The sequence below is a fragment of the Homo sapiens genome, chromosome 3 (genome assembly GCF_000001405.40).
Source record: "Homo sapiens chromosome 3, GRCh38.p14 Primary Assembly".
Classification (NCBI taxonomy): Eukaryota; Metazoa; Chordata; class Mammalia; order Primates; family Hominidae; genus Homo; species Homo sapiens.
Window position 1 is genome coordinate 35730984 of NC_000003.12, and position 27118 is coordinate 35758101.

The 27118-nt window shown below is 37.8% G+C and overlaps 1 protein-coding gene and 1 non-coding gene across 75 annotated transcripts in view; both read left to right on the forward strand.

The window, feature by feature from the left end:
- ARPP21 (cAMP regulated phosphoprotein 21) overlaps positions 1-27118 on the forward strand; it is a 155634-nt gene that overhangs the window by 92131 nt on the left and 36385 nt on the right. For 71 of the 74 annotated variants that reach the window (NR_170705.1, NR_169632.1, NR_170707.1 and 68 more), the window contains 4 exons: positions 6195-6379; positions 7231-7335; positions 8334-8594; positions 12856-12982. Coding sequence is in view for 64 of the 74 variants with exons in the window: in NM_001385489.1 (NP_001372418.1) it covers positions 6195-6379; positions 7231-7335; positions 8334-8594; positions 12856-12982 (678 nt within the window). In the remaining 10 variants the exon portion in view is untranslated. The remainder of the gene's footprint in view (positions 1-6194; positions 6380-7230; positions 7336-8333; positions 8595-12855; positions 12983-27118) is intronic. The other 3 variants (NR_169633.1, NR_169644.1, NM_016300.5) reach the window with 2 other exon arrangements.
- Positions 13493-13576, forward strand: MIR128-2 (microRNA 128-2). The gene has a single exon (NR_029824.1). It is a non-coding gene; the product is annotated as a microRNA 128-2 (primary transcript).

Consider the following 27118-nt stretch of genomic DNA (forward strand, 5'->3'; position numbering starts at 1 on the left):
GCACTATAAAGAAAATCAAAAGAACACTAGGATCATATTCTTTACTTTGGGCACTAATCAAAGTACTGTCTGACTTTGTTGGCTTAAATTCTTTCACTTTTAATTGAGATAGAGGGCTTGCAGAAAAGAGAACATTTTAACCACTTGTTTTGAGTGGTTTGTTTTAAGCAAAATTACAGAGTGTTTTGAAAAAGCTCAACAGAGTATTTTTAGGGTACAATGCAGGAATATTATTTGTAATGACAGCATAGTTGTGCATGTGTATGTGTATATTATCATCTATAATCTTGTTTGTAGAAAAAAGAAACAGAATGTTGTTTGATGCCAAGTCCCAATTCTTTTTCATTGGACCGAGTCATTTAGAGCTGTTATCAAAATATCTCTTTTGTAAAAGGATCCCAGCTAAGGAAAAGGATTTAATAACACTGTTGAACAGCTTCTCCATACATATTTTTCTGATCTGACAAATGCTAAATTTAAAATATCCTAAACCAAAAGGAAATGTATGCATATATTGTATACTATACAATGAGATGCAGGGTGAATTATGTTTCTTCTTTTCTAGAATATATTTATTTTGTAAATTGAAAAATATGCACATGTATGTGTATGTACATATATGCATTATATATAATGCATGTTATATATATATAGGTCTATCTTTAGTATATGTATGTGTGTGATGTACGTGTATCTACCTATCAAATTTCTTATATGACTTTTACTGTTGAAGCTAAAGGTTTGCCTCCTCTGGGCTGGAACTCATCTTTTTCTGTCATTGCTGTGAATCTAGAAACTACACCTCTCACCCTTTTTAAAGTATCTTTCTGCCAAGTACACAACAGAAATACTTGGGTGTTAGGAACCAAGATTGTATGACTATTTTGCTTCTCATTTGAACTGCCCTTGGGCTCATTTCCTTTTTACAACCATACTTAGAAGCTGTTGTGCAGAGGAGCCATACTTAGTTATTTTATTTTATTTGTTGCTTCTCCAGAATGGATAAAAAAGTCTTAGGCACTGTACTGGTGCTCAATAATTACATCATTATTGAAGGAATATCTACTACCCATTATATATGTGGGATGGATAATGGAGCAGTTTTTCAGCTAATGTCATATATTTGGAATGTCGTTCATGTGCAAAATTATAATTGATAAAACATCTGTTTTAAGCAAGAATAAGACAAGTAATGATTTAAAAATACTAAGGTATCTGCCAATCATGTGCCTACTAAATGAAAAAAAAATGAAACTTCCTTTGTCAGCACAATTGACTTGGCTCTTACTAAGTACTAAATATTTGGCACACTGAAATCAACCTACTCACATATACCCTTGCAGTTTCCCCAATATAACCATAACTTTTAATTTTGTCTGGCCTCAGACTCAGCTTTCAACAGGTCCATTTCTAACTTAGGACCTCTTGCCTGTTCTTTCTTTGCTTTTCAGGCATCTGGATGAGTGAGGTGTCACGGAGGCTGTTTTTCAAAGTTGTCCCTGTATAACATTTTCATTCTTCCAAGGCAAGCCTGGAATCTTGGGTTTGATCTTCCTCTGGTTGTCTTGGACCTAGCCTCCTTTTGGAAATTTTTAGCAGAAAGCTCAGCTTTGTTGGGCTATTTTACTTCAACTCAGTGCAATCCAGAAATGTCAACAGGCATTGGCATCCCTCAAAAACTTGTTAATGTTCATATATGTTATTTTGATATTTTTCTTGGCCATTATCTGGTGCAAGTTCAAGACTGTGTTATATAAAGTCATGCCATTTGCAGTGACTTCACTTTGAGGAGCCTTTTAGAGCTGTTCTCTTTCAAATGCTTCTGATGGACTTCCATAATTCTATATTTTTATTTTTATCAGGACTTCTAGCATCTATTAATCCAAACTGCTTACACTTTTTTTTTATTAAATGAATCATGAATTTTGTGTTCTGTCTATAAATGTATCTTTGCAAGGTCTAAGTTAATCCTTGTCTATCCATAATCAGTAGCTCCCTTATAATTTAACTATCATCTTCTAAAGACTAGGAAAAGAAAATCTCTTTCTCTCACCCCTTCTCTCTCTTTTTAAATAATTACCTTTCTTGACAGAAGGGTAAATTCAGAAATGCTTTGGTGTTCAAAACCAAGAGCGCATGATTACTTCACTTCTTGTGTGAATTGCCCTTTGGTTCATTTCTTTGTGAGGAGGGTCCATGCTTATTTTTTATTTGCTTTTTTTTTTTTCCTTTCCTGAGATTGATGGCAAGGTCTTAGGCACTGTGCAGGTGCTCAATAATTACATTATTATTGAAATAATATCTACTACCCATTATGCATGTTGATGTGGATAGTAAAGCAGTTTTTCACCTAATGTCATATATTGGAGAGAAATGAGCATTCTGCATTTAATCCTTTTCTCTGCGCCTGCTCTGCATTCAAAGTGCCCCGGCTTATTTCTGTCATTGCACTCTCTTCACCTATGCCAGCACCCATGCCAAGGCCTGCTGAGCGTGCTTGTGCAGTTTCTGACGTGAAAACCTCCTCTAGGCTAACTAGGCCGAGGGCCAGCCAGTCCGTTTTTCCTCTTTAGTCTTCGGCAGCTGTCATTCAAACTAATTGCTTGTATTCAGTGTAATTGCATCTGGATTGGTAGAAATCATGGAATATAGAGAGGCTGTCATTGCCTGAATTGAAAACCAATCGTCACCTATCCCGGGTCTCTTAGGAAATTGCTTTTGTTCTGTTCTCTAGCATCCATCTTCTTTTATGTTTCTCAGTTCTTTCCATCTCCCCTTGGTGAGCATAAAAATCAATTTTTTGTACTCCCTTCTCTTTCCAGAAGAACCTGCCATCTCTCTCTACTTAAGCGAATCCTTAGTGCTTTTTCTGTGCAATTATTTAGAAACATCTCCTTCTTCTAGCCCACAGCATATTAATCATATTTCAAATGGAGGACCTAGAATTTATCAAAAGACACATGAATATTTTGGGATTATATTTTAAAATTCTAGTTATGATCAGTTTTTCATACTTCCTTAGTTTTCATTGGGGTAAATCAAAAGCCATACAGAAATATAGTAAAAATCCTTTCTTTTTCCTTTCCATTGTGCATGTACATGTGTATGTGCGTATGTGTGTGTGGCTGTGTGTGTGCACAGCATGAGACTTATTTTGAAATAATTCCAGATGGAGTCGTATGCCTGTCTCTCTGATTTTTTAACAAAAGTTAAGTACTTACAATTTTTATCTTGTCTTTTTAAAATATAGAACAAATGAAACACAAGAAAATTAAAGATTAGAACACTAAATGGACTTACACATTTTTTAATATTGAGCTTTTAAAAATCATTTTCCAAATTGCTGATTTGGGAGGAAAAATGGGTTGCAGTTTTGAAGCTAGAAGAAAGTTATTTTTCAAAAAGAATATTCATTTAAAACAATAAAATGCATCTACGTGATAGGAAAACAAGTGCCTGGAAAATGAAGAACATAGAAAAAAGAGAGAGCAAGACCAAACAGTTGATTTTGTCACTGTTTTGCAAATATAATTCTGGCACATTTGCTTCCCCATCACAGCACATTATTGTTGGTTATGAAACAGATCAGAATTTAGATATGTTTCTGAATATGCAACATTCAAAGTTTCTTGTTACTAACACACAAATATATTTGCACTCAAAATTTGTGGTAATAATGGGAAATACTAACCTCTGGTTGCCATTCGTAAGTGAGCTGAAGTTAAGGCTTTTGCTCTCTACGAGTGAGCATGTTGTTTGGCCTTACTACAATCTCAGCATTTTCCTCCCCAACCTGCTCCATTTTACTTTCCTAATTTATTGAGCTATACAATATATAGGCGAAGTGCATGACCTGCACACATCTGAAGTCCAGACCTTAATAAATTTTTGCGTATATGAAAATCAGTGTGACTTCACTCAGAATGAGACCTAGAGTATATCTAGTCTTCCTATCAGTTTCCTCAGGCTCTCCCAGAAGTACTGATTTCCTTTATTTAGAATATTCACTTAGCTAATTAGCTTAGTTCCCATGTTATAACAGTCTGTTCTTGTATGAATATCGTATGTACTTTTTTTCACTAGAATGTCTCGTTTTCTCTGGGTCAGTTTTTAAATTCTTTACCTGTCTGTCTTCCTTTTTTATTTTTCTTTTTAAGACAGGGTCTCACTCTGTCACCCAGGCTGGAGTGCAGTGGCACAATCTTAGCTCACAACAACCTCTCTCCTGGGATCCAGTGATCCTCCCACCTCAGCCTCCTGTGGAACCACAGGTGTGCACCACCATGTCCAGCTAATTTTTTGTATTTTTTTTAGAGACAGAGTTTTGCCCGGTTGCCCAGGCTGGTCTTGAACTTCTGAGCTCAAGCAATCTACCCACCTTGACCTCCCAAAGTGCTAGGATTATAGGCATGAGCCACCATGCCTGTCCCTTGCTCCCTTTTGTTGCAAATTTTTCTCATATGACTGATGATCCTTGGTTGTTCTTTATTTATATTGTTGAAGAATAAGGCTGTTGTTCTTTCCTCTGCCATCACACGCTTCTTACCCTGGATAAGAATGCTCATGCAAGCCTTATGTATCAGAACAATGTATGGACTGAGATGCTTTAGAACATGTGCTAGGGCAGAGCTCAGCATGCTGCCTCCACCATCTCCCTTATGCCAAGATAAGGAGGACTTTCCACTGAAATATCAACCCCATCCTGGGAGCCCCATTCTCTCTAAGTATTTTGCTCAGGTTCCTAGAGAATATTTCTGTGACTTCAACTTGTGAACAAATATTCCCACTGCTCCTTTTCCAATAGGGTTACAGGATTTACTGAAAAGGGAAGAAAAGACTCACAAGTAGTTCAATGAACAGTTTGCCTATCCATTCCCTCATGTTCTGATGCTTCTCATTATTTATCTGCCAATACTGGGTGTTACTTCACCTTGAAACATGTCCTTCACCTCACCTGACTTCTCATTCATTGATTAATAATTTTCAGTTACGACACATTTTTTTTCATCGTTACCCAGTTGTTCCATGTACTCATTATGTAAAATTGGATAATTCACTTCAGTTATTTGGCATAATGGAAAGTGAATAGACTTTGAAGTCTTACTGACCAGGGTCATTTTCTAGTTCTCTCACTTACTGTTTTTTTATATTTCTGAATAGGTTGCTTGGTCCCCCTGACTCCTAATTTCTTTAGAGTGGAAATGAGAATATACCTCTGCAGGTTGTTAGGAGAGCTAAGATCATACATGTAAGGTGCCTGTTACTGTGCTTGCCACATAGAAAATCGGTTTGTTCTCTCCTTTATGCCCCCACACCCGCTCCTTGACTGCACTTTGCTCTTCTCCTTTCAGCTTTTTATTCCCATAATTTTTCCAGGAATGGAGCTTCATTTTCTCTTCTGAAAAACAGAGAAATGATACCTTTCTTCCTCACAGGAATTGTGATGAGGCTCAAATGATGCTATTTTGTAAACTATAAAATACTCCTCAAAGACAAAGCAATACTATGACGAATAGCAGTATTAATAATAGTAAACCATGCCATTATTTCATAAGGCAAAAGAATATATATTAGCTTTTCCATTACAAGATGATTCTGTGATGTACTACTTTTAAAATCTAAAACCCCGGGTATCCTTGCTTATGTCTATTTCGAGAAATGAGTGAATGGATATGTTATGTTCCATTGTATATTTATTGGAAGAACTGATAATGATTCTGAATTGGTGACAAGGCTTAGTAGCAGCAAAATAAATGTATTGGTAAATAACTTGTGACTGAATGTAGCTGGAGGTGTGTAACTGGAAAGCAGCCGTTATCCTTCAGTGTATGTTATCTCACTAATGGCTGTGAGGTGCAGTGCAGCAAAACATCTAGCTTTGTGAAGATTGCTTCTCCACAGGTCTCTCTACTGGGTACCTCCGTCCACAGATACATTTAGCTTTGGCAAAGCTCCCTGAAGGGGGTCGATTTATTTGCTGCTTCTTAAATTGCTATGGGCTCCCACTGTCACCTAGCTTAAGCGATGGGTCACAAACAGTAAGGTCTTCACATTGGTGAAGGTTTTGGGGTCTTAGATTTCCACTGCCCTGCCCCTTTACTTTAGGTTACTTTTTGAGTATCTAACAGAGTGGTTCTTCATGTCAAAGGAGAGATTGAGAAGCTTACCTGGACTAAGTTCTGATTCCATTGCAGGCCAGCCCTTTGTGAATCCCGATGGAACTCCTGCAATATACAACCCACCCACCAGTCAGCAGCCCCTGCGAAGCGCCATGGTGGGGCAGTCCCAACAGCAGCCACCACAGCAGCAGCCCTCCCCGCAGCCCCAACAGCAGGTCCAGCCACCGCAGCCACAGATGGCAGGCCCTCTGGTCACTCAGGTAGGGGGCTGGTTGGAAGGCAGGGAAGGGAAGTACCCTGAGATGAAGGCTACATAGTCCTCAGAGCAGCAGAGAATCAGGGAGAAGCGTATATTTTACACTCAAGCCTCACAAATAAAACCTGGCAGCATAGAGTTCTTTGCAGATTGACAGGATTTTATCTGAATCCTTAAGTTTAGATAGAGGTGAGTGCCCCATGCAGTAACTTGCAAGTTGAAGGCATGAAAGTAGGGAGAATAAATGATTTTTTCTTAGGTCTAAATGCCCTTTTTTTAAATGTATGGAGGAGGCTCTCTCAGAGACTGAACTCTAGGTCTTTGCGTCACCTTCCTCCCCCATTCCCGTCACAGATCAAATGCTCATGTCTGCAAAGAGTCAATACTGAATTCTTCATCAATGGGAAGAACAGAAATCAGTCAATTCCAGGGAGGACTGGCTGTTCCTACATACTCCTCTTAGAGAGATGCGGAGCTGCCCTCCTTTGCTGGGAAGACACAGATGCGTCCATAGAAACCTGAAGTGTTTCTGGTAGGCTGCTAGAGTGAAACTCATTTTAAATTCTTGATATTACTTATTTGTTTTGGGGCAGTATTTTCAGACCCAGAGGATCTAACCAACAATATCAAACGTACATCAGTAACTTCTTAAAGAAATAATCACTAAGTGCAAATGAGCCTCTCTCAAATGTGTCTGGCTCTGGTCTTTCAGAGCCTTGACTTTCCTTTGGTGGCTAGTTCCCCTCTCTGGAGTGCACTGAACCTAGAGAGCCTATGAAGGACAGTGGTGTGCATCTTGTGAGATTTCAACCCCAGTGCTTTTCTGTCAGCTGATCAATTTTTTCTTTCCTCCAGTCTGTCCAGGGGCTGCAGGCTTCCTCCCAGTCAGTGCAATATCCAGCAGTCTCTTTTCCTCCCCAGCACCTCCTACCTGTGTCTCCAACGCAGCACTTTCCCATGGTACTGTATTATGTGTATATGACTTTTTCCCCTAGGAAAGCATATTCTCTGATTTTACTACTTTTTTGTGTGCCACTGGCTGACACTGGGGTGGGTGCCCTGGGCTGACTGTGAGGGGGTATGTGCGAATGTCTCATTTCTGAACATTACAGCCCATCTCTGCAAAACAATGGTTTCCTTTCTGTCATCTGTCTGTCCCATGCTGAGTGCTTCTGTGGTCTGTTACCCTTTTCAGAGTATACCAGCAAAGAAGGAACTGAATGCCTTCAGAGTTAGAAATCAGGAACAGAGAGATACAGGAACTTTGCATGAGGGTTCGGGAAAGATCTCAAGGATGGTGTTGGGATGGGAACCATTATCACCCTATGCTCCTGATGTAGGTGCCCCCGCAATTCCAATCTCCCAATTTTCTTTCATTTTTCCCTCAAGTCACCAGGTCATTTTGAGCAACAGCTTAAAGGATGAACATTGCTCCTAAATTTTAGATCAGGCCAGTGAATAAATACTCCCTCATATAGTAATATAATCCCACCCAGCCTGTTGGTGATACTGGTCCTGGCTCCATCTTTGCAACAGCACTGGGGATGATGAGTATAGTTGGTTCTGCCTTATGGGTGTTCTCGAGAGGCAAATTCTGTGGTTTCTGCTGGGAAGACAAGCTGACCCTTCAGGACAGAACATCAAGCCTTCCTTGTGTGCAACACCACCCTGAGGAGCCTGTGCCTTCAGTGGAAAAATAATTTGTTTCCATTGAAAGAGAAATATTTGGATCAAAATTTTTGTCATCTCTGACTCTCTTGGGATGATTAAAACCTGATTTGTCATGTTGTGTTCTCTTGTTATGTTCTGGCTGAAGAATTATTTTATTTTATTTTTTCCAAATTGTACTTCCTGTCTCTCCCACAACTCCAAGAATGTGTCCTGTGTCTGCCTCAGAGTGCCTCTCTTATTACCAAGCTGATCCTGTGAATTCCCTCATTTATTTCCATGACTTGCAGAGAGATGATGTGGCAACACAGTTTGGCCAGATGACCCTGAGCCGGCAGTCCTCGGGGGAGACTCCTGAACCCCCATCAGGTCCTGTCTACCCATCCTCCCTTATGCCACAGCCGGCCCAGCAGCCCAGCTATGTAATCGCCTCTACAGGCCAGCAGCTTCCTACAGGAGGATTCTCAGGCTCTGGCCCTCCCATCTCCCAGCAGGTCCTCCAGCCCCCTCCCTCACCACAGGGATTTGTGCAACAGCCTCCGCCTGCACAGGTAGGTGTGCTTCCTCATGCCTGTGACCTACAGCTGATTTCTGATGCATTTTGACCTTTATCTTTCTATGTAGAAAATAACCAGATTCACTCCCTCTTCCCTTTCTAGTCTATATTAATATTCCTCACCAACAGGAAGTAGTATATTTTTTCATGCATCAGTTGTTCAAAGTTATAGGGCTCAGAAAGTGAGTTGAATGAAACTGATCCAACTGCCCATGAAAACAACAGGGGAATATCCCATTTTCCAGGCTGCTGGTACAGAGACCATAAGAAAGCATTCCCTCCCATGTGATATCCAGCTCAGGGGATTGCCTAGGAAGGAAAAGCCTTGGGGAAGGGAAAGGTCTGCACCTAGGAGACTTTCAATACTCTCTTGCTGCTGCCCCAAAAATGCATTCTTTCCTTTCTTATCAATTCTCAAGCATTTTCTGGGGCTAATCTGCTGCTCCAGGCAGGAGCTCCTCTATGAATATAAAGGAGGAAGGTAAGCTGATATCCACAGTCCTTTTCTCTCCCTAAGGGGAAGCAGAGCTCACACATCTCTCACAGGTAGCCATTAATCATATTTAATTGACTTGAGCATGTAAGACACCACAGATCACTGATTTTTACTGTCTTCTCAAAGACTGATTATGTGTTACTGTTCACCACCAAACATCTCTGGTACTCTCTTGGGTATCCCTTGCAGAAGATTAGAAGTGATTACTGTCAAGATATAAAATGCACAGAGGCATTTTCTGGTCCATTTTCAAGGCACACCGATCCCAAGAAAATTCCATCCTAATTATGAAGTATTGCATTGGATGAGCTGTTTAAAGTGCAGTGTCACCTTCGTATCATTTGTTTCACTGCCTTAACATCTTGAATAAATTATTTTCTTTTCAAGCCACACAAAACCCTCTACCAAGAAATAATTGTCACTAAATTGTTCATTTTATTTTGAGTGATTAATTAATAGTTCATCTTCAGTTGCCTTCTCTGTAATATCTCTTCAGAAGTGGGATCTTAAAAGATGTGTAAAATAAGTTTAAGTTACAGGAGAAAGGGCTTCATTAAAGTATTAATACTTTTACCAATAAATTAATAACTTCAAGCTTAATTATTGGGAAAAATAATTTAGCTCTTTTGGCCTAAAAAGCGTTTAAGTGTCCTTACTAATTTCTGCTGTCAAACAAAATGTAAGCAGAATGTTTAATTAAAGATCTTTAAAATAAATAAATAAATAAATGAAAAATTAGCCAGGCTTAGTGGCTCAGACCTTTAACCCCTGCACTTTGGGGGGCTGAGGCAAAAGGACTACTTGAGCCTGGGAGTTCGAGACCAGCCTGCACAATATAGGGAGACTTCATCTCTGCAAAGAATTAAAAAAAAAAATAGCTGGGTGTGGTGGCACATTCTTGTGGTCCTACCTATTTGGGAGGCTGAGGTGGGAGAATCGCTTGAGCCTGGGATGTCAAGGCTGCAGTGAGCCATGATGATATCTCTACACTCCAGCCTAGGAAACAATGCAAGACCCTATCTCAGAAAATGAAATAAATGAGTAAATAAGTAGATAAATATTTTAATAGGAAAGTCTTTCTTCACTGAAGGAATTTCAATATTAATCCACTGCAGAAACAAAAGCAATTCATAACCCCTCTTGTGTCTGTGACAGAAATACTTTCATTCCTTCTTTAACAGATTTTTAAAAAGATAGAAAGAGAGGGAGATAAAACAGGTGTCCATGGTTCATAATCAGTCTAGACATTTATGAACTTCTTTTTGAAGAATCACAGATAAAGGTATAGGCTATAACCCATAGTAACTTTCAATTTAGTAAACATTTTAAAATCTGATTACCCAACTATGGAACAATGGAAATAACTTAGTTCAGATTCAGCCCACAAATATGTGGAAATATGTTAAATTTCTGCAGAAAATGAATCTATTTAATAAATGTAAAGGTCGATTTCATCTGACTCATCATGTATGCTTCCTAAATGCCCACTGGAAAGGTGAAGTGAAAAGCACATGGACGAGACAAAGAGGGATTTGAAGAAGGGAAATGGGAGAAGTGCATATTTTTTATAGTTTCTTCTTTCTTTTCTCTTCTAATCCACTCCTTTTTGGATTCTCCATATTTTAACATGATTGGCTGAAAATATACATTTCTGAGCTTTGGGGCTATTCTTACTCCTTTCTCCCTTCACCTCTCTCCTTTCAAACCTTTCATACTGATCTTTTAAAAGATTGCTGTTAACCTGGCTTTCTTTCCATCCTCTCTAAGAGAGGATGAGGTTAGACCAAGATCTCATTTGCTTCATCCGGTTGGGGATCATAGTTCCTAAGAGCTAACCAAAGCGCCACCTTGGAGTGGCGCTGGATTCAAGTAGCCAAATCTCTAGCACAGCTTGTGAAGGTATCACAGAAGCTATGTCTGGGGAAAAGAAAAAAAACAAAACAAACAACAACAAAAATTGAGTTCAAAATTTTTTTCCATGCAGCTGTACTTTTATTGTAACCATTAGTCCTCATCAGAACATTTTTAAGTATAAATTCCTTCATCCCTGAGGATATTTTATGTTTTATATTGAACATAAGAAGGGAGATCAAGGAATAGATATCACATTCATGAGCTTACATTTAAGCAAGACAGTCTTTTCTAAAGGAACAAAACGCTATTTCCTAAAAGACATGTAAATATAAATGCTGACAAATAAATTAGATGAAAGTTGTTCCTATTTTTAATATTGGGAGGCATCTGATGCATAATGGTAGTCATCTTTAATACCACCAAAGTTTGCCAGAGCATAGCTAAATGCTATTATTACTCCAGAATTATTTGTTTTTTATTGTTATAAACTGCCTGACAAAAAAGAGAGAAGTAGTAAGAGCGAATCACTATAAGCAAGGTATACAATGACTTAGTTGCCAGATACTGACCCAAGATTGCTTTAGACTCATTCAGCCTCTTGCCCTTGAATATCCATATGTTATGTAGCCACAGTTATAATTCATCATGATTCCATGAAATTGCAGAGCTACAGGTTCACACAGATTAAGTTATATTTTGTTCCCACTTTATCCTCAGGCAGCAAAATATGTTACATATGTTTCAACAGCAATATTGAAATAGAAAAGTGTTTCCTATTAGACCTGAGCAAATCAGAAAACAAAATAACCATGAAAATCACAGTTCTCAAATAATTGACTTGTAATTTTATCCTATGTATATAATGTTTGTAGGCGGTCTACTAGGGTACTTCAGTTGTTATTTTAGAGAATATGATAGGCGAAAACTCAGAAGCCCAGAGATAGAAAATAATTAACTAAGATCAGTAAGAAAGTGACCTTAATATAAATGAACTGAGGCAGGCAAAGAAGTCTATCAGATCAGGAAACATTTGATTTGGATCATAATCAAATAATCAGAATAATTTTATTCATTCTCAGTCATAAGAAAGTTAAGAAGGTAGCATAAACAACATTTTTATCATATTTTCCCTTTTAGATTGAACATACTTTTTTGAATAGTGGTGTGTACCAATCATTCTGCAATGTGCTTTGATAGACTACCATATTTCATGATTGCATTCTCTGCTCCTTTTAGGCTACAGATCAGCAGTTTTCATGTTTCACCCCTGTTTCCATTAGAAAAGCAATTCAAGTTAGATATAATATTTAAAATGTAGGTTTTCGTTGTTGATGATAACTGTTTCACTCTCTCTTGTTTCATCTAAAAAACACAAAAGTCTTGTTTTAAAACAACCATTGTATGATCACGACTAGGTCAGCAATTGAGCAGGATTTATCACAGATGGCTCATCTCTGCTCCATATGGCTGGGGTGGCTTGACTAGGGCTACACTTACATGCCTGGAACTGGAGGGTAACCAGTCAATTGGGGGTACCTGTGTTCCCCACATGGCCTTTTTCTGCAGCAGAATAGTCTAGACTTCTTTATCTCTTGGCTGGGTTCCCCGCCTACAGACGTGGAAGCTGCAAGTCTTCTTTAGGATCAGACTTGAAAGACTCAGACATCATTTCTGCCTCATGGCGTTGGTAAAAGAAAGTCACAGAACCAGCTCAGATTTAAGTTTGGGAAATGGATTTTGCCTCTTTACGGGAGAAGTAGCATGCACATACACATAGGCATGGGAGAAGTTTGCGGTGGCCATCTTCACAACCTACCACAATTATAAGACGAAAGCATATTTTAAGTTTAAAAATTTACATTATCTACATTTTCATTCTCTGCTTTCTTCCTCCTTTCTTCCACAGATGCCTGTATATTATTACCCATCTGGTCAGTACCCTACCTCAACCACGCAACAGTACCGGCCCATGGCCCCGGTTCAGTACAACGCTCAGAGGAGTCAACAGATGCCACAGGCAGCACAGCAAGCAGGTACTTGGAATCTGTTTCCCATTTGCTTCTCAACCCAGTTATTTTTGCTGGTGAATCTTGTACTCTTTGGATGAGTGTCCAAGCTTGGCAATTTAAACCAGCACATTTTCTCTACCCAGAGAAGATAACAAAGCATTTGATTGACTCTGTGTGGAAAAGTAGTAGGTACAAGAAGGTGAAGCATATGTCAGACTAGCATCCCTGGCATGCATGTTAAACAGTCTCCATAAATTATTTTTTGATCCTTCTTCTGTTAAAGCAGAAAGTCAACCATGTCCGTACCTTTCTAGTTCATACCTTCTTTTAATTTTTTTTTTCTTTTCAATTTGAAGAGAGTGCTTCCTCTGTTCTTAAGGCTAGGGAACCAAATTAGGTTGTTTCAATATCGTGCTAAAAGATACTGCCTTTAGAAGAAGGCTATTGACAATCCAGCGTGTCTCGGTGGAACTCTGACTCCATGGTTCACTTTCATGATGGCCACATGCCTCCTGCCCAGAGCCCGGCAGCCACTGTGCAGTGGGAAGGGGGGCCGATACACTGTACGAGAGTGAGTAGCAGGTCTCACAGTGAACCGGTCTCTTTCCCTACTGTGTCACACTCCTAATGGAATGCCGTTATCCAAAGAGCAGCACGAACCCGACAGGGCTGAGTGGCTTGTGCTAGGGAGAGGTTTGTGTCATTCCTGCTGACCAAACTGCAGGAAAAACTGCTAATTGTCATGCTGAAGACTGCCTGACGGGGAGACTCTGCCTTCTGTAAGTAGGTCATGTAAAGAGCACGTGCTCCTTGCTGCTACTCATAGATGCCTGCTCCGTGATCTGATTTCTGCACTGAATCTATGTTATGCATATGGAATGTATACAGATACATGTATGTAATATATACACAATATGTACCATTTTTATAACCTATGAGAAAAGTGCAGTTCTTGCCAAGGATTAGCACCAATCACAGACATCCTAAGAATACCAATGCTGACACTGCTAGCATCCTGTCAGATTGGAGAAAGAATTAAATTCCCCCGTATTGTGGATGGTTACATGTTCTTTGGTTTATCTCATGGCCTATTTAAAGTCTGTGGGAGAAGAATTAGAGAAACCTATATCTTCCAGCCAGATTTTGTCTTGTTTCAGCACTGTATTAGTTTGGGGAAGAATATATTTGACCTCTGAATTGACTTTAGACTTTTACAGTGTTTTGAGAACACTAAAGGGTTTCAAATAACTATTTATTTTTAAAAAATCACTTGGCAATATTTTCTCTAATTTGTGGAAAACGTTATTACCTTTATCATTTTGGTGGTAACGGTGCTATCAGTTTAGATACATGCTGTAGAAATGTGTTGCTTGCATTCTGGACTATCTTATTTTATGCTAACGTTAATTAAAGGGTTAATTTACAATCTTGAGGATCTTGGTTTAGAGGCTATGTGCAAGTTTTCTACTTGGTTACTAATGCCTTTAGAAGAAAAAAGATGCAGATATCTAATTATAATGATTTTTATTAGGTTTGGTGCCATTGTGTGGCAATTTTTAAAGAGATTATTTCAGTCTTGTGGTAGAGTGTCATCATACAAAGAAACGCAGTTACAAAACATGCTGCAATCCACTAAACCCATAAACTCTAGATCTATGTGAGGGGATGAGAAAGTTAGATGAATATGATAACTGGGCAACAGAATTAGATTTCAAAAAAGTTTAGGCCTCCCCCACTGACTTCTCCATTGCTTTTTCTCCTCTTCACTAACTTTGTTAGTGGATGTCAAAACAAGAGACAATATATGAGGCATTTTTTACTCTTTAATAAAGCACAATGGGAGAATTTAGGGATGTGGAAACACCCTCTCCCATTCAGTTAGAGACCTCACTGGCTCCACCTACATTCCATGGCAACCTGGTAGCTTTGGTTTGTCACATTCTCCCACATCACCGCAAAAATGACCCTCCCAAGGTAAGATAATGACACTGTAATGAGAAGAGTGCACTCTAGAGCAGCATCAAGCTAAATATAGAAGCAAGGCAGTGCCTAGGGTGTCAAGGAAGTGAGTGCCAGTTAATGTGGCCTGTACAGGGTGAGGAAGTGAGAAAAGTGAAATGATCATAAACAGTATTGTCCCCAGAAATGATGGCATTAGTATACACATGCACACTGAGACCTTTGGGCTCTTAGTTTTTGTGACCACCACACTGGATACCTGGCCTAAAATCCCAACACAGTTTCCACCACAGTGATGAATGTACCTAGTATTTGGGAAAGCAGATGGTGTTCCCTGACCTTACAGAGAATCACTTCTGCTAATAAAATCCAAGTAACCAGACCACACAGTGGCTCTTTGAGAGTGCACAGAGGCTCTGGGTCCTACAGCTGGGCGTCCTTTTGTTGAGCCTAGGGAGACTAACAGAAACTTTCCAAATGGTCATGGCAGTCATTTGTGAGAGCAACTCTATGTGGATGGACTATCTCATAGAGGAAAGAGCCTCTTCAGATAACTGTATAAGTTATATTTTCTGGAAGAACTAGAAAATAAGACTTCTCCATCTTTAAGTCAAACTATGGGCTACTATCAGCATGTCACCCTCCCACAGTCATGTTTTAACTTGTTCTTCCTCCTGCCTCCTGCAGCTGTGTGTCTTGGGATCTGACCCTTTTCCATCTTCATCTGATAATGACACCAGATTATGTCATAACATCCTCAGCTATCACGTGGTTAAAATTAGAGTGAGACAGAATTATGTCAGTTAAAGTCAAATGAGATTTTAATCTGAATTTGCTTCTTGGCGCTGTTCTTAATCTTTATTTAATTGCAGTAAAAAGCCTCTCTTCCTTCTCCTACATTCTTGCCAGAATTGAAATCTCTGTCAGTTACTACATCTTTCCTAAGACTTAAAACTCTACACAGTGAATTTTTGTAAAGTGAACTGGACACTATACTGTTGATTAAATAGGACACCTGAGTTCCCCTGTGGCACAGTAGGGAGACATAAGTTCTTTATCCTGGTGATTTTGTACTCTTCATCCGATCAGCACATGGTAAAAGGTCCTAAACATGTGGAAGAGGAAGCCTATGTTGGTGGTAATTATAAATAAAGAACACTAATGTTGGGGCCAGGTGTGGTGGCTCACACCTATAATCCCAGCACTTTGGGAGGTGGAGGCAGGTGGATCACCTGAGGTCAGGAGCTCGAGACCAGCCTGACCAACAGGGTGAAACCCCGTCTCTACTAAAAAATATATAAAAATTAGCTGGGCATGGTGGCGGGTGCCTGTAATCCCAGCTACTTGGGGAGGCTGAGGCAGGAGAATCGCTTGAACCTGGGAGGTGGAGGTGGCAGTGAGTCGAGATTGCACCATTGCACTCCAAATCCAGCCTGGGCAACAGAGCAAGACTCCATCTAAAAAAAAAAAAAAAAAAAGAACACTAATGTCGAGAAAGTTTAGAGAAATCAAATGGTGGAGTTGCAAAATGATATTTGGAATTTGTAGCTACATTTGTGAGAAAAATAAAAAACCTTCAATTTACAAATATCTCCAACAGAAGAATCCGTTTATTGCCAATCTGGCATTATCAGGTACCTCCAATAGTGGGGAGATGGTTTTCTTTCTGAGGGAATTATTGATAGCCCAAGTCTGTGTGGAAGAGCAGTTATCAGGATAGGTGCACGGCCTCATTAGCCAGGCATGGTGGTACTTGCCAGTAGTCCCAGCAACTTGGAGGAGTACAAAATCACGAGGATAAAGAACTTATGTCTCCCTACTCTGCCTCAGGGGAACTCAGATTTCCTATTTAATCAATAGTATAGTGTCCAGTTCACTTTATAAAAATTCATTGTGTAGAGTTTTAAGTCCTGAGGTGAGAGGATTGCTTGAGCCTGGGAGGTTGAGACTGCAGTGAGCCATGATCATGCCATTGCACTCCAGCCTAGGTGACAGAGCGAGGCCCTGTGAAAAAAGAAAAAGAAAGAAGGAGGAAAGAAAGAAAGAAAAAGAAAGAAAGAAAGAGAGAGAGAGAGAGGGAGGGAAGGAGGAAGGAAGAAAGGAAGGAAGGAAAAGAAAGAAAGACAGAAAGAGAAAGGAGAGAGAGAAAGAAAAGGAAGAAGGAAGGAAGAAAGAAAGAAAGAAAGAAAGAAAGAAAGAAAGAAAGAAAGAAGAAAGAAAGAAAGAAAAGAAAGAAAGGGAGAAAGGAGAGAGAGAAAGAACAGAACAGAAAAGAAAAGAAAGAAAGAAAGAAAGAGAGAGAGAGGGAGGGAGGAAGGAATAAAGGAAGGAAGGAAGGAAAAGAAAGAAAGAAAGAGAAAGGAGAGAGAGAAAGAAAGAAAAGGAGGAAGGAAGGAAGGAAGAAAGAAAGAAAGAAAGAAAAAGAAAGAAAGAAAGAAAAGAAAGGGAGAAAGGAGAGAGAGAAAGAAAAGGAAAGAAAGAAAGAAAAAGAAAAGAAAGGGAGAAAGGAGAGAGAAAGAAAAGAGAAAGAAAGAGAAAGAAAGAAAGAAAAGAAAGAAAAAGAAAGAGAGAGAGGGAGAGAGGGAGGGAAGGAAGGAAGAAAGGAAGGAAGGAAAGAAAGAGGAAAGAAAAGCAGTTATCAGCTTATGGCTTGTTTATAAAAAGACTGTAATTTTAAAATCATTCTATCTTTGGAAGACTTGGAAGTGAGAATATCTTAACTGGAAACAGAGTTTCTCAACCTTCAGATATTGAAATGAAGTGTTGATGAACAAACATTTCATTCCTTAATGTTTTAAGTTTATTTTAGTAGTTAGCTCTCATGCCATTTTTTTAGTTAGTACCTGTGTTGCTATGGTTTTGTTCTTGTTGAGAAACATATTTAAGGCCACAAAAATATTAGCAATTATCACATCTCCCATTGACTCGGGATCTCTAGTGGGCTAGTTTAATCACTACCACAAGTTTGCAAGGGAAATACACCGTTCCTTCTTTACAGATAGGTGAAACTATTGCTCAGGGAGGTGAAATAAATTATCCTGGGTCTCAAGGTTAACTGTGTAGGGAAAAGCACCCAGACGTGACTGGTTTTAAGCCCATGTGTTAAGCATTTTATTGGAACAACTTAAACATGGTTACTAGTTTTGCCTTTATATGCTAACATGGATGATTGCATAAAAACTGGCATGTGAGAAATAAACCAGCATGCCCATGTTATAGAGGCAGGTAATATTTAGTTAATTGTTCAAGTACACAGGTTGACCTAAAAGCAGAAAATATAAGAGCCTTGGTCTTCTGCCTCCCTACTGAGCTTGGGGTTCCATATCACTTTGTAGAGATGATCAATAACAACAAATGGCAGAAAGCAGCTGAGACATTTACATTCAAATCACACACTAGAAAGGAAAAGAAAACAAAAAAGAGTTCCTTTTAAATGGTTTCCAACTCCAAATTTCCTATGAAGTTTGACTTAAAAAGAAATATACTTAGCTTCATTCTCGGCTCTCCAAAATCTTGGTCATTCCTAAAAGCAAAAAAAAAAAAAAAAAAAGGAACTTATAAAATCCTATGTGTGTTCTATGTGTGTTCTTAAATGGGAATTGGGGGAAGAAGTTTGGTTTAGTGTCAGAGTAACACTAGCCTCATAAAATGAATGGGAAAGTGTTCCTTCCCTTTCTATTTTTGGAAAGAGATTGTATAAAATTGGTACTAAATCTTCTTTAAATGTTTGTTAGAATTCTCCAATAAATCCATTTGACCCTAGAGATTTTCAGAAACATTTTTTTAACTTTGTATTTTAAGATAATTTCTGGAGATTTTAAATTGTGAGTTAATTTTTTATGATTATAGTATTCAGATTATATATTTAATCTTTGCTTAGTTTGGGTAGTTTGTGATCATTAAGGTCTTCGCCCATTTCTTCCAAGTGGCTGAATTTAAGAGTATAAAATTGATAGTTTTATTTCTTTACTATCTTTTTGTAGCTTCAGGATATGTTGTGATATCCTGTTTCATTCCTGGTATAGATGATTTTTAACTTCTCTCTTTTTATTTTTGTCAGCCTTGCTAGATTTATCAATTTTATTGACCTTTTCCAAGAACTAGCTCTGTTTCATTGATTTTTCTATATTGTTTTAGCTTCAATTTCACTGATTACTGACTTATCTTTATTACTTTATTATTTTCTTCCTTCTGTTAATTTTAGGTTTATTTCGCTTTTTTTTTTTTTTTTGGTGGTTTCTTGAGATAAGAAGTTAGATTTTTAATTTGAGATTTTTTTCTCTTTTTTAATGTAAATATTTAATGCTATAAATTTCCCTTTCAGTCTTGCTTTAGCTGTGTCCCACAGATTTTGATATGCTGTATTTTCGTTTTCATTCATTTGTATATATTTTTAAATTTTCTCTGAGACCTTATCTTTGGCCCGTGGATTATTTAGTGGTGTGTTGCTTAATGCCCCAGTGTTTAGAGATTTTCCTTTTGTCTTCCTGTTACTGATTCTTGATTGATTCTGTGATAGTTAAATAACATATTCTGTATGATTTCAGTTCTTATAAAATTTTTGAGGTGGTTTTACGACCCAGGAAATAGCCTATTTAGTTGAATGTCCCATAAGCACTTGAAAACACTGGGTATTCTGTGGTTGTTGGGTGGGATGGTCTATATATATCAGCCAAATCAGGTTGGTTTATTTTGTTGTTCAGGTATTCCGTATTTTTTCTGTTTTTATGTTTACAGTTCCATCAGTTGCTGAGAGGTGGATATTCACAACCCCACCATAAGACTTTCTAAAGCCCTGGAATGAATTTCAAGGCAAAAGTTGCCTCCAGTGTCCCTGACATGCAAAGACAGAGGAGGGACTTGGTTTTTCAGACCATGCTATCTTTTAGTTCCTTTTGCAATTGAATAAGAAATGTTTTATCACCTAAAAAAAAGTTAACATTTCATAAAAATAGTCTGGAAGGTGAAAGTCCTGTGAACAGTGATTGGGCTTTGGGTGAGCTGTTCCTATAAGCTTCTGCCCGCATCTCTCACTTGCCAGGCTTTCAGCCCTGTTGCTTAATGCCAGTAATACTACTTTAGGTTTAGGTAGAGGAGTGATGAAGTTGACCGTTTACAAAGGACAGTTCAACAATCTGCCTTCCTAATAGACCAGGAGGGTCTATATTCTTGAATGCCGTGAAGATAGAACAATACGAAATCAAGACAGCTACATAGCAGAGTAAAGAGGGTAAAAAAGAGCATGAGGGAACCTTAAGTTAAATTAAATTATAACTGCAGCAAATCATTTGATATGGATTCTGAAACTGTAGGGATGTGTCTCACCTCTGCTTTATAAAATCCCTTTTCTCTTCTACCCTCCCCTACTCCCAACTATCTGCTGAATGATTCATTTTGGGTAAAAAGCAGTTTCATAGAGCATTTTCCATTAAAATGTTTTACTTTTGAAATTACAGTTCAGAAGGAGGCCATGAAAAAGAAATCCTAAAAATGCATAGTATTGCAAAACCCATGCAGCTTTTATGGGGCTTTCTTATGGTGATTTAATGTACCTCTGTTCTGCGTGAGTAAGTAAGCGATACTCCAATCTGCCTTGCAGTAGTAGAATTGGAATTTCTCACGGAAGACAATAGTGGAAGTCTTTGGAATTTTTTGGAATGTCTTTACTCACTCTTTTCACTTACATTTAAGATAAACCTCACTTTGGACTATCCCTTACAGTCTGCTCAACAGCCAGAATGAGATATGAGTACTATGAATATAAATGGAGTTTAAATACTTAATTTTGCTAAATGAGGAAAGTGAGGCTAGAAGGCCAGTCTCTGGTCCAATGCAGTCTCTCTTGTCAGAGCCAGAGAGGGTCTTCTGCTACTTTAGCACCTACAGAATTAATGACAGATACAGATTTCAGAAACTCAGCAAGTTTATTCAGTCTGACAAAGTCTGACTTGTCAGAGTCTACTCTGCCTATGTAAACTCAAAACCATCTAATACCTGCAAGTTGTAAAGAGAGCACACAAATAAGAGGAAACAGTATCTCAATAATTTGGAAATACGTCATTACCTATCCCCACTCATAAGAAAAGAACTGGAGATTCTCCAACTGTCAGAGTATGATCTTTTTCTTCCCAGATAGAGAAGGTGGAAATGAGCCTTTGCAACAGGCCTCTTGTTTGTTGAGCTAATTGGGGAAGCTAACGATGGATGCAGATAAATCAGGTTGCAATGAACTAAAAATACATGCAAATAAAAGATATAGGAAAGAATGGTGAGGGAAGAGGAAACCAGGTCAGGGAATGTATATCCTGTTTGTTTTATTTTGCTGACTGATACTATGATAACAGTATCAATCAGGAATCTGCAGACAGCACTCTGACCTTTTGGATCTAGATGCCATTGAATCAATCCTGTATTCTACATCTGAGGAAACGATGTATGTTTAAAGAGTTCTTTGGTGAAGAATTGTGAAGTTGGAGGGGGTCAGCCTGTCAGAAATACAAACTTTAAAATAGGCCAGTTTTTGTTTCCCTCTGGAACAAAAATTCAAAATGCCTTTCAACTCTTCAGTTATAGTTATTCAATTCCCTCTAGCTCTTCTGTACACAAATCAACTCTAAGCCTCTGAAGATTCGTAAAAACATCTTGCAAATGCTATCCCCAAGCCCTCTCATGGGAGATGAGAAGGTTACTATAACCAGGGTCCTAGAACTTTAATGTGCATGGAAACCCAGATCTTGTTAAAATGCATTTCAGTGCAGAAGCTCTGGAGTGTCTTGAGATTCTACATTTTTAGCAAACTCCCAGGTGATGCTGGCGCTACTGGTCTACTGTTTTGAAAGCAATGTAATAAATAGTACATTTTTATTCATTGCCAGCTCATATACAAGTTGTTGCAAAGGGAGAGGACCTACCCAAATTCATTATTTTATTTCACATTATTTGTATTAGGCACAATTCTAATATTTCATAGTCAACATTTCTAATCTTGTGAATTACAGCTAGTATTTAGAATTAATATGCTAATGTTTACAAATCCAAATTTTAAGAAAGCATATGAATATAATGTGATTCTATAACATAGCAGACACTCATAAATGCATGAATAACATGTGTACCTATTTTCACTTTGGTATGGCAGGAAGTGTGTGTGTGTGTGTGTGTGTGTGTGTGTGTGTAAGTGAGAGAGAGAGAAAGAGAGAATATTCATTTTAGCCAGATCTCTTGGTGGTTTATTTTTCCCTTGTGGAAAATACGGTGCTTCAGGTAAAGTTGTTGTGTGAATATTTAAAAGGCTAAAACAGAAATCTCTCAACCATCTAATTCAAATATAAATAAGAGCAAAACTGTGGTTAAATATTATGAAATAGAATAGAATGACAGCCTAACAAATCAATTCATGTCAACATATGAATATACACATTTTGTGTTTCAAAGTTCAAACACCCAAGGAATATGTCTCAGACCTTTTGGGAAATTTTCAAAGGTATAATATGTTTCAATTTTGGTACGCCTAGTGATTTGGGAATTTCAACAAATTTAAAATAAGAATACTTCCATGAAAGCTCATTTCAGTTGTTCGGATGGCAGAAAATAACCAGACTGTGAAAATGTATCCCTATCACCCTTTGCTCCTGGCAGCTCTTTCCTTCAATCATTTCAGTTTACTCTTGAATGAATAATAGTGGAATGGACTTAGTGGCATGGCTGGCAGGAAGATATGATTATCTGTGGAACATGTATATTTGAAAAGAGACCAAAGCCACAATTTCTTTTCTGATAGTTCTTCATAGAAATTCAATAAATAGTAACGTGTTTAGTTTTTTTGTTCCTTCTTTTAGAAGTAATGTTTCTGATATAATAGCGAGCTGTTAGTATTAACAGCTCCAAGTAAGAAATAAGGTTATTGCCTCTTTAATGTTGTTCTGAAACACATTTGGGATGGGGCAAAATGTACCTTAATGGAATTTACAAATTTATTTAACCAAAGCAGTTGAGTAAGGGTTGACAGTGAATTCAATATTTTTAGCTTGACTGATTAATGTAATTGTCAATGTAATTGAGAAGGTTTTTTTTTTTTTTTTTCAAATATCGCTTTTCTCATTCTTTGTGCTTCTGCTGTTCTTCACCTTGATTTTTTTGCTCCTTGGGGTTGGCTGGAGATGGGGAGAAGGAGCATCAGAGCTGAAGAAAGAATGTGGAATACTGGTATGACCAATAAGATGCATTAATTTATAAACAGTAGGATTTTTGTCTTTATACCTTAATTTGCCTTCTCTAAGAGTTGATGATTCTTTAAAAAGATGTATTTTCCTAATAAGTTACATACATTTTAATATTTAGAGTCCACTATTCTTTGTAATTTTTATTTGAGGAAATAGGTGTAACTAATAACACTAAGAGAAGCAATGCAAAAGTTGTTACACTTGACAGCTCTGAGGACATGATTTATACTTTGGGTGTCTGCATTATTATATTTCCAAAAGCAGAGGGGTGAGTTATTAAAGAGTGACACGAGGACTTAATTGTCTGATGTCTATTAACATCAGTGGGAGGAGTCACATGGATGAATCCTTGTGGAACATGCTGTTCTGAAAATATTAGTTTGAAAAAAGTTTCTATGGAAATGTTCATGTGTTTCTTTCATTAATTGGTCTAATTATTCCATTTACAAAAATGAGAATGAGAAGTATAACACTGGGATTAAGAGAAAAATTAACATTATTAAGAGAAATAATAAGAATCATGCTATTTTTAGACCTAAAAATCTTACACATTCCCAAAAACGGTATAGATGGCCAGGTTCTCTCTATCCCCTAGGAGGTTACAGTAAAAGGAATTTGTTCAGCACATTTGCAGTAATTGCTTTAGCACTTTGTATTTTATGTGATTTTTGGTGTTTAAATTTACATTTGTTATGCAGTTAAGAACTACTGGTATTATTAGAATTTTCTGTAAAGATGGAAAGTAAGACAAATTATAGCATTATCTGTTTTCTTTACTATACAAAAGAAAGTAGAAAGCAGTCGTTTGGCGAAAACAGAAAGAAAAAGGAGATTTGGATTAAAGATGGCAAGAAAAGAAAGGTGGCAAGTAAAGCATACACATATATGTTATTGAAAGCTCTAGCATTTCTTTGCAGTTTTTCTAGGAGACAAACTAAATAAAAAACAAAATAACCCTAAAAATTTCAAACTGCTTTTTCCAAGAATGTGATTTACCTGATTATTTAACTGAATGAAATCTTGACTCTCCCTTTTACTTTTCTCCTCCTTTTGTTTCTTGTTAATTTTTTGAGAGCAATTTCTGTTCTCAGTTGTCACCTACATCTATGAACTACCCTGTTTTTCAGTCCCACTTTTCTTCTGAAGCACATTTAAAACAAACAAACAAACAAAACTTTTTCATTGTCTCCACCACCTTCCCAAACCTAAGTCTGTTTTCTCATTGTATTTTCTATCTTTAACTCTTGACTGTACACAAGTTCCCTGCAACTCTCTTTATACTCTTTTTTTCTTTTTATATTAAATAAAATTTGCACTTCAAACTCAGGATGCTGCTCATGTTATGTTTTAGTTGTCTGCATTTTTCTCTTCATCAGTTCTTTTTCTTTCTATTCTGCACATGTCTCTCCATTATGAGATAGGACACTTCATTATTCCAGAGACAGTCTCAATCTAACAGCCAAATAATGAAGAAGAATTTCTGGGATTTTCTCCTTTTCTAGTAAAAGACCACAAAGAGTACCATGCTATTTCTTGTTCACCGTGGTATCCCTAGAGCCAATGTAAATTTGGCCCTCAGGATTTGTGACTTCACGTAGCAATTAGTTGTGACAAAAGAGTGAAGAGCATCTTAAGTAGTGTTATTTTTATCTTGCTTTCCAAATTCAGAGATGCAGTGGTACCCATGGGAAAACTGCAAGGCTTTTGGATGGTGTTTAAATTTTTCATTTCCAAGAACTACACATTTGGGTAAAAACTTTAGTGGTATTCCAATTTTGAATAGAAAGCAGTTTGCAAATTGCTGAACTTATAAGACACTATCTCAGAAGTAAGTACCCCTGAAAGACGCTGCTTTTTAAAACTCTTTCTTCATTCTACTGTCTTTAGACATGACTGCTTACTACAGGGACACAAACGCAAATTCAGCAAAACCAATCAGCATGGGCTCATTTTACTCATTACCTCCTAGTTTGTCTATTCCCCAGACCAACAGCATAAGATCACAGTTTTAATCACCCCCTCCAGCTCTGAAATACCAAGAGCGCTTCTGTCCAAATGAGTGGCACATAAATGTAATGGTTCCACAGCAACAATCACTGTAACCTAGGAAGGCTACAATACTGTCTGAAACTCATCGAATTAGTATAATTCTAAAAGAAACACTGTAACTTAGGCACTCTGTTTAGAGCTTATGCGAGTGACAGTCTTATGAGTGGGTTCACTAGTTGGTTCAGTAGTTATAGTATGATTCCATGGCTGAGGCATATTTGCACAAACGTTCTTTGGGAGAGTATGTTACCAACGTGCAGTAGCCTTCACATTTATGCTCCTGTCCAAAGCCACGAAACCACCACAGACCTTCCCCATGCTTTCATTTAGGTGCTATTCACAGTTGTCAGCCAATCCTTCCTGGTGGGTGATAGTTTTGATGGCTCTTCAGTGACTCCCACCAATCCCTAATCATGAGGAAGATGCTTAATCATGGGGAAGATGTCAGCCGACATCATGATTCCCACACTGTTTTTTACAGGTACCTAGAGACTTGTAATTCTCCCAGATGCTCTTACTGCTTTGGGGATTGTTTTGTTGTTGTTGTTGTTGTTGTAATAGGTCCAGCACAATTGCACCCTTTATAAGCCACTGTGTGTCATATTTGTTCTGAGAATAAAAAATAAATGGCAGAAAGAAGGTCCAGATTAAAACCAAAAGCACACCTTGCAGAATGCAGGATATTGCAGTAGAACACACATTTTGAGTATTGTAGGAATATGCAGTAAAATCTGTCAAGCTAGCTCCAAGTAGGTTTGCATTAATTTTTGTTTCCTAAGGAAAACAACTTATAAACAAATATCACTTTCATTACTCATTTATGCATGGGCAGTGTTAAGTAGCCAGTGGTGTGGTATTATGATACAGAGTTCAGAGGGTTTGAAGTGCCTTTTAGTGATTTTTTTTTTTTTTTTTGAGACAGGGTCTTTCTCTGTCACCCAGGCTAGAGTCCACTGGCATGAGAACTGCAGCCTTGAACTGCCGAGCTCAAATAAGCCTCCTACCTTAGCCTGAGTAGCTGGGATTACAAGCACCCGCCACCACATCTGGCTAATTAAAAAAAAAAAAAATTGTAAAGATACGGTCTTGTTATGTTGCCCAGGCTGGTCTCAAACTGCTGAGTTCAATTGATCCTTCCACCTTGGTCTGCCAGAATGCTGGGGTTACAGGAGTGAGCCACCACACCCAGACCCCTTCAATGAATCTTGATGAATAATTCAATTTTCCCAAGTTAAGACCTAGTAGGTCTACCTGCTAGAAAAGGCTCAGCTTTTGCTGACCTGGGCCTGTGGAATTGAGATGAGTCAAAGAGAACAATCCAATGACAAAAAAATAAATCCGAGAAAAAAGCTCCAGCCTAGCTGAAAATTGTAGCAAGAATCAGGAGAAAGAGAAGACAATCCAAGTGGTGGTTTTTGTTATGTTTGTTATGTTTTCTTTTATATGTAGAATATTTTATAAATTGTGAAAACAATGCAGTGCATAAAGAAGGCTTTTTGAAAAGACCTCAAAACTTTATGCTAACACAACAATGAATTTTTAGTTTTGACTCTTCTCTTTCTGCCTTTGAGCCTATGTATATATGCATGTTGTAGATTTAAACATGTATTGTGATCATAGAGTATCGCAATTTCTTATTTATTTGGTATTATATTTATTCAAAACTCATTATTTTACACTTGATTCTGATTTCTGTGAAAATTTTTTAAAGAAGTAAAACTGTATTTTCAGATTTCATGTGTTTTACATAAAAATTCAAAGCAATTCACAAAACAACTGGTAGAACTAATTAGTTAATTTAACATTGTTGCAGAATAGAGGGACAATATACAGGAATCAACTGTGTTTTTACATACTTGTGGAAAACAAATAGAAAATTTAAAAATTCTATTTATAATAGCAACACAATTTTAATAGTAATAATTAATCA